This window comes from Homo sapiens, chromosome 1 (assembly GCF_000001405.40).
Source record: "Homo sapiens chromosome 1, GRCh38.p14 Primary Assembly".
NCBI classification, from domain to species: Eukaryota; Metazoa; Chordata; class Mammalia; order Primates; family Hominidae; genus Homo; species Homo sapiens.
In genome coordinates this window covers 19274229-19287660 of record NC_000001.11, presented here as the reverse complement: position 1 = coordinate 19287660, position 13432 = coordinate 19274229, and the positions used below count along the sequence as shown (strand labels likewise).

General features: G+C 47.1%; 1 protein-coding gene across 3 annotated transcripts in view, besides 1 other annotated feature; it reads left to right on the top strand.

The window, feature by feature from the left end:
• Positions 1 to 13432, top strand: part of AKR7A3 (aldo-keto reductase family 7 member A3) — a 14542-nt gene extending 1110 nt beyond the window's left edge. Inside the window, exons 2-7 of one of the 3 annotated variants that reach the window (XM_011541046.4) lie at positions 1289 to 1476; positions 1669 to 1773; positions 2547 to 2643; positions 2876 to 2975; positions 3536 to 3665; positions 13022 to 13432. In XM_011541046.4, coding sequence (XP_011539348.1) covers positions 1289 to 1476; positions 1669 to 1773; positions 2547 to 2643; positions 2876 to 2975; positions 3536 to 3665; positions 13022 to 13315 — 914 coding nt within the window. In that variant the 3' untranslated portion in view covers positions 13316 to 13432. Of the gene's footprint in view, positions 1 to 1288; positions 1477 to 1668; positions 1774 to 2546; positions 2644 to 2875; positions 2976 to 3535; positions 3666 to 4768; positions 5089 to 13021 lie in introns of those variants that run through there. The other 2 variants (NM_012067.3, XM_047449607.1) reach the window with 2 other exon arrangements.
• Positions 3159 to 4034: an enhancer, noted in NCBI's record as "H3K4me1 hESC enhancer chr1:19610121-19610996 (GRCh37/hg19 assembly coordinates)". NCBI's record gives its function as "activates a minimal SCP1, AML or CMV promoter by ChIP-STARR-seq in naive H9 embryonic stem cells {active_cell/tissue: H9 hESC(naive)}" and the evidence as "EXISTENCE:reporter gene assay evidence [ECO:0000049][PMID:30033119]".

Below are 13432 nucleotides of genomic sequence, written 5' to 3'. Positions count from 1 at the left end.
TGGCAATGCCGCGGGTGCTGGAGGAGGCAGGTGTGGCCGGAGGGGAGGATGTGTGTATAGGGGCAGGAGGAGCCGCCCTCAGTCTGATGCCATTTGCAGTGCTTAGGCCGATGCCTGGCAGGCACATAGTGAGGGCTGGGAAATGTTAGCTGTTTGTTTGTTCTTAGTATTAGCACCATTTGCCTCCTTCCACTGAGTGTCTGAGTGGAGTCTTATTTCTCCTCTGATTCACCACATGGTAGATCCAGAACGAACCTGGCCTGTGCGTGCATCCCAGTGCCACGCTCTTTCTAGATCACCCGGCTGCCACTCAGTGAGAGCTCTAACCATATTTCTGATTTTTTTTTTTTTTTTGAGACAGGGTCTTGCTTTTTTGCCCAGGCTGGAGTGGAGTGGTGCGATAGGGCTCATTGCAGCTTTGACCTCTCAGGGCTCAAGCCATCCTCCCACCTCAGTCTCCTGAGTAGCTGGGACTACTACAGTAGCACCACACCCGGCTAATTTTTTGTATTATTCATTGAAACTGGAGTCTCACTTTGTTGCCCAGGCTGGTCTTAAACCCCTGAGCTCAAGTGATCCTCCTGCTCTGGCCTCCCAAAGTGCTGAGATTACAGGTGTGAGCCACCACAGATCTGTACCCTCTGCCTGGCCCTTATTTCTGATTTTTTTTTCTTTCCTTTTTTAATCCTTCTTTGTCTTCTGTCTGAGTCCAAGGTTGGCTGGCGAAAGTCCTCAGATCTGATCTGAAGTTAAATTCAATTGAGAAGCAGAGGGGTGGTGGTGGAATGGAAAAATTCCATATGAATAGTTCCTCAAACCTGCTCTTTGCTAGGCCTCAAGGGCTCCAGTGACTGCCCTCCTGCCAGCCTAGGTGACTTTCTAAGTGTGAAAAGTGGGAAGAGGACTCTCCACTCACCTGTTAGTCCAGTTCACTAGGAACTAAGATTCTTTTTTTTTGTTGTTTGTTTTGTTTGTTTGTTTGTTTTTTGAGAAGTCTCACTCTGTGAGACATTGTGCTGTGGCACAATCTCGGCTCACTGCAACCTCCGCCTCCCGGGTTCAAGCAATTCTCCTGCCTCAGACTCCGGACTAGCTGGGGACTACAGGCGGGCTCCACTATGCCCAGCTAATTTTTGTGTTTTTATTAGAGATGGGGTTTCACCATGTTGGTCCAGCTGGTCTTGAACTCCTGACCTTCTGATTTGCCTGCCTCAGTCTCCCAAAGTGCTGGGATTACAGGCATGAGCCACGGCGCCTGGCCCTGAATTTCATTTCTCTTTCCTCTCAGTGAAAATTGATACCAAGGCCATTCCACTGTTTGGGAACTCCCTGAAGCCTGACAGTCTCCGGTTCCAGCTGGAGACGTCACTGAAGCGGCTGCAGTGTCCCCGAGTGGACCTCTTCTACCTGCATATGCCAGACCACAGCACCCCGGTGGAAGAGACACTGCGTGCCTGCCACCAGCTGCACCAGGAGGTGAGGGGACCCCTGAGCTCTGGGAGGTGGTCCACTGCTGCTCTCCTTATCCTGATCCTAATGGTGAGAGCAGAGGCACCAGGGCTGTTCCAGGGTGGAGCAGGGAACAGCCCAACTCCCAGGGGCCCCACCCTGGCCTCCCTTTCCTGGTCTGGGCTGCACTATGTTCTGACTGGAGCCTCACCTGAGCAGGGCAAGTTCGTGGAGCTTGGCCTCTCCAACTATGCAGCCTGGGAAGTGGCCGAGATCTGTACCCTCTGCAAGAGCAACGGCTGGATCCTGCCCACTGTGTACCAGGTGAGAGCCAGGGCTGCAGAGGCCAAGGTCTCCAGAACTCCTGCTCATCCTGGGCTGTCTTTGCCCCTCTGACTGCCCCCTGTGCCCTCTGCATAGCAGCCACTCCCCTGCTGAAAGCCTGCAGATGGCTCCCAGGTACCCTCAGGATGCCATTCAAGCTCCTCAGGCTGGCCACTGGGCATCTGCTTCCTTCCTGCCTATCTGTGCACCTTGGACCCTTCCTTCCCTACCTTCCCCTGCACTCAGCCTGGAACAAGCCCTTCCCCCACCACCGCCCCTTCCGTGAGAGAATGGTTCAGGTCTCACATACGTGTCTCTTCCTCTGGAAGCCTTTCTAGATGGGCCCAGAAGACCCTGAGACCTCAGGTCCTTGTTTACCTCCTCATGATTCATTGCACAAATATTTGCACACCTGCTTGGTGCCAGGCACTGGTCACAGAACTTTCTAGTCTATTATGATTGCCTCATGACTTGATTATAACTGTTTATACTTGACCTTATTATAAAACCTTGAGGGAAGGGACCCTGTCCTTTTGGCTTAAGAATCTAAATCTGACAACCAGCCCATAGTTGGTGCTCATGAAAGTTGGCAGAATGAATGAATTTTCCATGGGCATAAGCTTCTTTCACCAGCACCAGTTAGAATAAGTATACGCCCAGACGGTTAAAGTCCTAGAATTGTTAAGGTCTGAAATAAGGGTTCTGGAAGGGTAATTTTGAAGTCTCTTCTTTTGACACATCCACCCTCTCCCCCGGGGCCCCTCTCCTTACAGGGCATGTACAATGCCATCACCCGGCAGGTGGAAACGGAGCTCTTCCCCTGCCTCAGGCACTTTGGACTGAGGTTCTATGCCTTCAACCCTCTGGCTGGTACGTGGAGCATTCCTGGCCCTGTCTCAGCCTATTCCCGACCCACAGATGCCCAGCCCAGGACCTGGGAAGCAAGGAGGGTTTGACAAACTTTGACCTCTGAGGTCAAAGACGTAAAGGCTGCATCTTCAGCCCTCCTGGGTCCCTGCCCCTCCCCTAGACCAGAGCCCTGAGGGATGTGGCAGCTTCTGGGGCACTCTAGGCCCCGGGGCTGATTGCTGCTTTCCCTCAGGGGGCCTGCTGACCGGCAAGTACAAGTATGAGGACAAGAATGGGAAACAGCCCGTGGGCCGCTTCTTTGGGAATACCTGGGCAGAGATGTACAGGAATCGGTAAGCTGTGGGTGCTTGGTGTGGATGGCTGGGGTGGGGTCAGCTTTATGTGGAATGAAGTCCTGGGCTGCTCCTGGGGTAAGGCCTTTCCTCGCTGCTGCACCTACTCCCCTGAATTTCTTCGGGAATTTCCAAACCCTCCATCGGTTTTCTTGTTGTCTTGGGACCTCCAGGAGGAAAGGAGACTCCCTGGACCTCGGGGTCTTGAAGTCGTTGCTCTTTCCTGAGCAATCACCTGCTAGGAAGGAAAGAAGGAGCTCTGGAGGGAGGTCCAGGAGGCCTGGGGCTGAGTCCTGACCCATCTTAGCGGCCTTTGTGTCCCTAAGGAAAATAAGAGCAGGCTGATGAGTCCTCAGGAATAAAGATTTGTTGAGGTCTCTGCTGAGGGGCCCAGCATCCTGAGTGGTTCTCTTGCCCAGCAAAGTGGGAGACCCATGGCTAGAGAGAACACCTGCCCCTCAGGGCTGCAGGGTGTGGGGTGGGACAGTGGCCCTGGTTGGCTCTTTGGTTGTGGCTCCCAATGTGGCCCTGACACCTGTGCCACCGTCCCCCCTTCCCAGCTACTGGAAGGAGCACCACTTTGAGGGCATTGCCCTGGTGGAGAAGGCCCTGCAGGCCGCGTATGGCGCCAGCGCCCCCAGCATGACCTCGGCCACCCTCCGGTGGATGTACCACCACTCACAGCTGCAGGTAACCAGTGACCCTGTGCGCTCAGCTTCTTCCCTTCCAGGGGAACCAGCAATATCTTTAGATGAAGGCTGAAACATTTGTTTATCGATTCCTCTGAAATTTCTCTTTCTTTCAACTCTCACAAACATTCTTCCCACTGGTCTTTTTCTATGTTTTTTTTTTGGGGGGACAGAGTCTCACTCTGTCACCCAGGCTGGAGTGCAGTGGCATGATCTCGGGTCACTGCAACTTCTGCCTCTTGGGCCGAAGCAACTCTCTTGTCTCAGCCTCCCCAGTAGCTGGGATTACAGGCGTGCGCCACCATGCCCAGCTAATTGTTTGTATTTGTAGTAGAGACAGGGTTTCACCATGTTGCCCAGGCTGGTCTCAAATTCCTGAACTCAGACAATTCGCCCTCCTCAGCCTCTGAAAGTGCTGGGATTATAGGCGTGAGCCCCTGCGCTCGGCCTTCTCATTGGTCTTTGATGGTATCTGAGTGCCAGGCTTTGTAATGAGAGCTTCATTGCAGGGATTTCATTATTCCTTCAGCTTTATGAAATGACTATCCCAGTGTTATTGACGAGGAAACTGAGTTTCACCCAGCTATGAAAGGGGCAGACATTTTAACACAGGTTTAACTGTAAAGCCCACTAGTCTCATCCTTTTGGTGGGAGCTGGAGTTTCCCTCTCTCAGTGCCTCATGTCTTCCTCACTTATATCCAACTCCAGCCTTAGATGTTGCAATAGTGTCTGGCATATATACAGTAGGTGCTCAATAAATGGGAGCTAAGTGCTCTACATAATTTTTCACACCCATAACCATGTTGAAAATAGAAAAGAGGATTGAATCTCAGAGAGGTTTAATAACTTAGCCGCGTTTACACAGCTGCTGGGGGGCAGAACTGGGCTGTGAATGTAGGTCTGTCTGGAAGCGTCGTGTGGCAGTAGGGGAAGGGATACAGGTTTTGCGTCACATGGGTACAGCTATCCAAGGCACCTTAAGTTCTTTCTGGACATATGGGATACAAGAGATCCCAAATCTCAGCAGGGAGGTGGCTGGGACGGCTGTGAGTAGAGTCGCTGTGCAGCAGAAGAGGGTTGAAGTCTGGCCGTCTCCCTTGCAGGGTGCCCACGGGGACGCGGTCATCCTGGGCATGTCCAGCCTGGAGCAGCTGGAGCAGAACTTGGCAGCGGCAGAGGAAGGGCCCCTGGAGCCGGCTGTCGTGGACGCCTTTAATCAAGCCTGGCATTTGGTTACTCACGAATGTCCCAACTACTTCCGCTAGGCCCATCGTTTCTCAGGCTGCCCAAGGCTCTTCTGTAACATCTTTTGTTACTCACATTTTCTTTAATTTAGAACTGCCTCAGTAAATTCTTAGGGATGGAAGTATTTGGACAAAAACCTAATAGAAGAGTCACCACCAAATGAAGAATAAAACTCCCAGGGTGCTGTGTGTTAGTCTGTTTGCGTTGCTATAAAAGAATACCTGAGACTGGGTCATTTATAAAGAAAAGAGGTTTATTTGGCTCACCACTCTGCAGTCTGTACAAGGGGGTGTGGTGCCGGCATCTGCTCTTGGTGAGGGCCTCAGGAAGCTTACAGTCATGGCAGAGGGGGAAGCGGCGCCAGCGTGTCACATGGTGAGAGAGGGAGCAAGAGACAGACAGGGGAGGAAATTCCAGGCTCTTTTAAACAACCAGATCCTGTGTGAACTCATAGAGCTGGAACTCACTCATTACTATACAGATGGCACCAAGCCATTCATGTGGGATTTGCCCCCATACCCTAACCCCTCCCACCAGGCTCACCTCTAACATTGGGGATCACATTGCAACATGAGATTTGGAGGGGACAAAATACCCTGATGATATCATTGTACCAGTACCACCCCCCCGCAAATGTCATGTTCTTCTCACATTGCAAAGTACAGTCATCCCTTCCCAATAGTCACCCAAAGTCTTAACTTGTTTCAGCATCAACTCAATCATAAGGCCAAAGTCTCATCTGGGACTCAAGGCAAGTTTCATCCACCTATGAACCTGTATAATCAAACAAGTCATTTGCTTCCACGATACAGTGGTGGTACCCGTACTGGGTAAGATTCCCATTGCAAAAGGGGAATCAGCCAAAAGAAAGGGGCAACAGGCCCACGCAAGTCTGAAACCCAGTAGGGCAGGCGTGAAAATGTAAAGCTCCAAAATAATCTTTGACTCCATATCCCACATCCTGGGCACACTGGTGCAAGGGGTGGGCTTCCAGGGCCTTGGGCAAAATTCAATTGCTTAAAATGACAAAATCCCCAAGATGATAAGAAAATTCAACATAATCTTTGTCCAAATCCCAACTGGCTTTTTTATTTATTTTTATTTTTTTAATTTTTTGATATAGAGTCTCGCTCTGCCTCCCAGGCTAGAGTGCAGTGGTGCAATCTCGGCTCACTGCAACCTCCACCTCCTGGGTTCAAGTGATTCTCCTGCCACAGCTTCCTGAGTAGCTGGGATTACAGGTGTGAGCCACCCACCTGGTTAATTTTTGTATTTTTGTAGAGACTGGGTTTTGCCATGTTGTCCAGGCTGGTCTTGAACTCCTGACCTCAGTTGATGTGCCCCACTTGGTGCCTCGAATGCTGGGATTACAGGCATGAGCCACCACACCCAGCCAGCTTTTTTTTGAGAACACAGAAGTTGGAAAACTGGTTCTAAAATTCATAGCAAATTCAGGGCACCCAGGATACCCAAAACATGCTTGAAAAAGAACACAGTTGGAGGACTCCCACTTTCTGATTTCAGAACTTACTACAAAACTACATAGCCGGGCGTGGTGGTAGGCGCCTGTAATCCCAGCTACTCGGGAGGCTGAGGCAGGGAGAATTGCTTGAATCTGGGAGATGAAGGTTGCAGTGAGCCGAGATCAGGCCACTGCACTCCAGCCTGGGTGACAGAGTGAGATTCCATTCTCCGAACAAAACAAAACAAAAAACAAACAGAAAAAACAACTACAATGCTAAAGACAGTGTGGTCCTAGCATAAGGCTAGACATAAATCAATGGACTAGAATTTAGAGTCCAGCAGTAAACCCTTTCATGGTATTGTCAATTAATTTTAAAGAGCGTCAAGACAATTCAACAAGGAAAATAACCATCTTTAGGCCGGGCGCGGTGGCTCATACCTGTAATCCCAGCACTTTGGGAGGCCGAGGCAGGCGGATCATGAGGTCAGGAGATCGCGACCATCCTGGCTAACACAGTGAAACCCCGTCTCTACTGAAAATACAAAAAATTAGCTGGGCGTGGTGGCGGGTGCCTGTAGTCCCAGCTACTCGGGAGGCTGAGGCGGGAGAATGGTGTGAACCCAGGAGGTGGAGCTTGCAGTGAGCCAAGATCACGCCACTGCACTCCAGCCTGGGCGACAGAGCAAGACTCTGTCTCAAAAAAGAAAAGAAAAGAAAAGAAACGAAAAGAACCATCTTCAACAACATCTGGATATTTGCAAGTAAGAGAATGAAGTTGGACCCCTTCCTCATACCATACATAAGAAAATAAACACAAAGTGAGTCATAGACCTAAATGTATAGGCTAAAAGTATAAAAACTTTTAGAAGAAAATACAGGGCCAGGATGGTGGCACACTCCTGTAATCCCACCTACTGTGGTGGCTGAGGCACCGGAATCACTTGAACCCAGGAGGCAGAGGTTGCAGCGAGCCAAAATTGTGCCACTCCACTCCAGCCCGGGTGACAGAGCAAGACTCTGTCTGTCTCAAAGAAAGAAAAAGAAAATATAGAGATAAGTCTTGTGGCCTTGGATTGGGGAATTGTTCCTCAGAAGCACAAACAACAAAAGAAAAATTAAATTGGACATCATCAAAGTTTAGAACTCTTTTACTTTAAAGACTCCATAAAGAAAGTGAAATGACAACCCACAGAATGGGAGAAAATACTTGCAAATCATTTACCCGATGATGTTCTGTCTAGACCAGGGGTGTCCAATCTTTTGGTTTCCCTGGGCCACACTGGAAGAAGAAGAATTGTCTTGGGCCGCACATAAAATACACTCACACTAACGATGGCTGATGAACTTAAAAAAAAAAATCACAAGAAAATCTCATAATGTTTTGGGAAAGTTTATGAATTTGTGTCGGGCCACACATTCAAAGCCATCTTTGGGCTGCATGCGGCCTGCGGGTCGTGGGTTGGACAAGCTTGAATTATATAAAGAACTCTTATCATTCAACAATAACAATATCAATAATGCAATTGAAAAATGAACAAAGGATCCAAATAGAACTTTCTCTAGCAAAGATATACAGATGGTCAGTAGACAGATGAGAAAGCGCTCAACATCATTACCCATGAGGGAAATAAAAATAAAAACCACAATGTGTTTCCACTACTTCACACCCACTAGGATGGGAGTAGTAAGACAGACAGACGATAGAAGTGCCGTAGAGAAACTGGAATCTTCATATGCTGATGGTGGGAATGTAAAATGGTACAACCACTTTGGAAAATAGTTTGGCAGTTCCTCAGAGGATTAAACATAAAATTACCATAGGATTCAGCAGTTCCACTTGTGGGTATATAGCCAAGAGAAGTGAAAACATATCTCCCCACAAAAAACTTGGGCATGAGTTTTCACAATATCATTACTCATAATAGCCAATAAGTAAAAACAACCCAAATGTCCATCAATGAATGAAAGGATAAACAAAATGTGGTATATTCATACAACAGACTATTATTCGGCTGTTAAAAAAAATAATAAAAAAGTAGCTCACGCCTGTAATCTCAGTACTTTGGGAGGCCAAGGCAGGAGGATTAATTGAAGACAGGAGTTCCAGACCAGTCTGGACATAGAAGTGAGACCTTGTCTCTAGTAAACATAAAAAGAAAATTAGCTGGGTTCTGTGGCACACACCTGTAGTCCCAGCTACTCAGGAAGCCGAGGTGGGAGGATTGCTTGAGCCCAGGTATTCAAGGCTGGAGTGAGCTATGATTATGCATCACTGCACTGCAGCCTGGGTGACAGAGCAAACCATGTTTCTAAATACATAAATAAGTAAATAAAATGAAGTAATGAAACACCTACAAGGTAAATGCACCTTGAAGACTTGTAAAATTAAAGACGCCAATTGCAAAAGGTTTCATATTGCATGATTTGATCTGTATGAAATGTCCAGAATAGGCAAATCTGTTTGAGAGAGAGAAAGTAGATGAGTGCTTGCCTAGGACCGGGAGGAGGTTTGCGAGGAAATAGAGATTCACTGCTAATAAGTACAGGGTTTCTTTTGGGTGCACTTATGAGGATGCTCTGAAATTGATTGTGATGGTTGTACACCTCTGAATACATGAAACAGCATTAAATCATCACTTTAAGTCAACTGTATAGTGTCTGAATTATGTCTCAATACAGTAGTTTTTTTGTTTTTGTTTTTGTTTTTGTTGTTTTTTTCTTTTTTGAGATGGAGTCTCACTCTGTGGCCCAGGCTGGAGTGCAGTGGCGCGATCTTGGCTCATTGCAACCTCCGCCTCCTGGGTTCAACCAATTATCTTGCCTCAGCCTCCCAAGTAGGTGGGACTACAGGCGTGTGCCACCACATCTGGCTAATTTTTTATGTATTTTTTAGTAGAGATGCGGTTTCATCATGTTAGCCAGATGGTCTCAATCCCCTGACCTCATGATCTGTCTGCCCTTGGCCTCCCAAAGTGCTGGGATTACAGGTGTGAGCCACTGCGCCTGGCCAATACAGTTGTTTTTAAAAAACAAAACAGGCCGGTCATGGTGGTTCATTCATGCCTGAAATGCCAGAACTTTGGGAGGCCCAGGCAAGGGGAATCTCTTGAACCCAGGAGTTTGAGACCCCTTCCCCATACCACACACAAAAAAACTAACTCAAATGAATCACCCACCTAAATGTATAAGGTAAAACTGTAAAACTCTTAGAAGAAAATACTGGAGTAAGTATGACTTTGGATTAGGCAGTGGTTTCTTAGATATTGACACCAAAAGCACACGTGGCAAAAGAAAAAGTAAAATCAACACCATCAAAGTTTAGAATGTTCGTGCTTCAGAGAACTATCAAGAAAGTGAAAAGACAAGCCACAGAATGGGATAGTATTTTGCAAATCACATATCTGTAAAGAAACTTGTAGCTGCAATAGATACAGGACTCTTACAACTTAATTAAAGAAAAGACCCACCTAGGTGCAGTGGCTCATGCCTGTAATCCCAGCACTTTGGGAGGCTGAGGTGGGAGGATCCCTTGAGGCCAGGAGTTCGAGACCAGCCTGGCCAACATGGCGAGACGCTGTCTCTACTAAAAATACAAATATTAGCCAGGTGTGGTGGCACATGCCTGTAATTCCAGCTATTCGAGAGCTGAGGCACGAGAATTGCTTGAACCTGGGACACCGAGATTGCAGTGAGCCGAGATCGCACCACTGCACTCCAGCCTGTACAACAGAGCGAGACTTTGTCTCAAAAAAAAAAAGTAAATGCTTACATTATTGATTTGAGATATTTCTTCTTTTATAGTATGTCAAAGTGGTGCTATAAATTTCCCTCTTAGCACTACTGTGGCTGCATCTCAGAAAATTTGACATGTCATGTTTTTACTTTAATTCAGTTCAAATTATGATCTAATTTTCCTTGAGATTACATCTTTGATCCATGGGTTATTTAATTTCCAAATACGTGGGGATTTTCCAGACATCACTCCGTTATTATTTTCTATTTTTCCTTTTTCTTCTATTTATTTATTTACCTATTTACTTATTTTCAGTTCCCTCTCAGGCTCTAAGTTCTGTTATTATTTTCTAGTTTAATTCCATTGTGTTCAGAGATGTACTTTGTATTATTTAAATCCTTTCAAATTTATTTGTTTATTTTTTTCTTTTCTTTTTTTTGAGACGGAGTCTCACTCTGTTGCCCAGGCTGTAGTGCAGTGGTGCAACCTCGGCTCACTGCAGCCTCCACCTGCTGGGGTCAAGGGATTCTCCTGCCTCAGCCTCCTGAGTAACTGGGATTATAGGCATGAGCCACCACGCCCGGCTAATTTTTGTACTTTTAGTAGAGATGGGGTTTCACCATGTTGGCCAGGCTGATCTAGAGAACCCCTAACCTCAGGTGATCTGCCTGCCTCAACCTCCAAAAGTGTTTGGATTACAGGAGTGAGCCACCACACCTGGCCTGTTAATTTATTTTTGTTATTTTTTTTTAAGACGGAATCTCACTCTGTTGTCCAGGCTGGAATGCAGTGGCATGATCTCAGCTCACTGCAACCTCTGTCTCCCAGGTTGAAGTGATTATCCTGCCTCAGCCTCTCGAGTAGCTGAGATTACAGGTGCATGCCAACATGCCTGTCTAATTTTTATATTTTTAGTAGAGACGGGTTCTTACCATGTTGACCAGGCTGATCTGGAACGCCTGACCTCAAGTGATCTGCCTGCCTCAGCATCTCAAAGTGCTGGGATTACAGACATGAGCCACCATGCCCGGCCTCTTTTGCATTTATTAAGACTTGTTTTATGCCTCAAAATATAGTATATCTTGGTGGATGTGCACTTGGATGCATATTCTGCTGTTGTTGGATATTCCATTCATGTTGTTTATATGGACTTGGTTAATAGCATTGTTCAAGTCTTTTTTTTTTTTTTTTTGAGATGGAGTCTTGCTCTGTCACCTAGTCTGGACTGCAGTGGCGCAATCTCGGCTCACTGCAACCTCTGCCTCCTGGGTTCAAGCAATTCTTTGCTTCAGCCTCCCGAGTAGCTGGGATTACAGGTGCCCGCCACCACGCCTGGCTAATTTTTTGCATTTTTAGTAGAGACGGGGTTTCACCATCTTGGCCAGGCTGATCTTGAACTCCTGACCTCGTGATCCACCCGCCTCAGCCTCCCAAAGTGCTGGGATTACAGGCGTGAGCCACGGCGCCTGGGCTGTTCAAGTCTTCTATACCTTTACCGAGTTTCTGTAAATTATGACTGACAACTGTTCTACAACTGTTGAGAGTGGTGTGTTGAAACCTCCAACTATAATTTTGTATTTGTCTATTTCTTCTTAAGTTCTATTATTGTTTTTCATGTATTTGATGCTCTATTTTTATTTGCATATACATTGACGATTATATTTTCTTTGTTAATTGACCTCTGTCATTATGATAGGTCCCTCTTTGTCTTTGGTAGTTTTTCTTGTTGTTGTTTTTGTTGTTGATTTGAGACAGGGTCTCAATCTGCTGCCCAGGTTGGAGTGTAGTGGTATGATCACAGCTCACTGCAGCCTTGACCTCCTAGGCTCAGGTGATCCTCCCACCTCAACCTCCTGAGTAACTGGGACCACAGGCACATGCTACCACATTTTGATAATCTTTTTAAAACTTTTTGTAGAGATAACATCTCTCTGTGTTGCCCAGGCTGGTCTCAAACTCCTGGGCTCAATCCTCCCTTTTCAGCCTCCCAAAGTGCTGAGATTACAGGTGTCAACCACTATACGGGCCAGTATTTTTTGTTTTGAAACCTACTTTGTCTGATATTGATGTAGCCATTCCAACTTTTTAAAATTTAGTTTTGTCAAGGTATGTCTTTTCCCACCTTTTTACTTTTTTTTTTTGAGATGGAATTTCGCTCTTGTTGCCTCGGCTGGAGTGCAATGGTGCGATCTTGGCTCACTGCAACCTCCGCCTCCAAGGTTCCAGCGATTCTCCTGCCTCAGCCTCCCAAGTAGCTGGGATTACGGGCATGTGCCACCCCACCTGGCTAATTTTGTATTTTTAGTAGAGATGGGGTTTCTCCATGTTAGTCAGGCTTGGTCTCCAACTCTTGACCTCAGGTGATCCACCCCCCTCGGCCTCCCAAAGTGCTGGGATTACAGGCATGAACCACTCCGCCTGGCGCATCTTTTTACTTTTAACTTATCTCTGTTTATATATTTCAATAGCTTTCTAATATTTACTATATACTTGTGTTTTGCTTTTTTATCCATTCTAACAATCTCTGCCTTTTACTTGTAAGCATTTTTTCATTTATATTTAATGTAATTATTGATATGGTTGGGTTTAAATTAATCTTGCTATTGGTTTTTCATTTGTTCCATCTGTCTATTGGTCTTTTTTTTTTTTTTTTGTATTTAGAGACAGATTTGCCCTCTGTCACCCAGGGCGGAGTGCAGTGGAGCTATCACAGCACACTGCAGCTGGGCGTTGGTCCATTTTTCTATCTTCTTCTTCTTTTTTTTTTTCTTTTGAGACAGGGCCTCCCTATGTTGCCCAGGCTGGATTCAAACTCCTGGGCTCAGGCGATCGTCCTGCCTTGATCTCCCAAAGTGTTGGGATTACAGGCGTAAACCACCACAGTCAGTCAGTTTGTTTGTTTGTTTCACTTAGGTACAGAATTCAATGCCAACAGTTCTTTTCTTTCAAGACTTTAACCATGTCACTCCACGGGGACGCTGTTTTGAGCCTTTGGTAAGCCTCATCCTCCAGGACCACACGGCAGGCAGGCAGGACAGCCCTTACTTAGGTCCACCACACCCGTTAAGCTCCCTCCTGGAGGAGACAGAGACCTGGGACAGCTCCGGGGCGGGCGAGGCCGAGGGATGGGGGACGACGGGGCAGGGAGGAGTCCCAGACCTTTGGGATCTTCGCCACCCTTGGACCCCCTCACCCTTGCGGACTTGAGGAGTGTTAAAATCTCCAAGACGCGAGTCACCGGTACGAAGCCACAGCCATTTCGCTGCTTGCTCGGTGCAAGTGCAGACGGTCCTCGTGGTTGAGAGCGGAGTCCAGCGCGTGGGC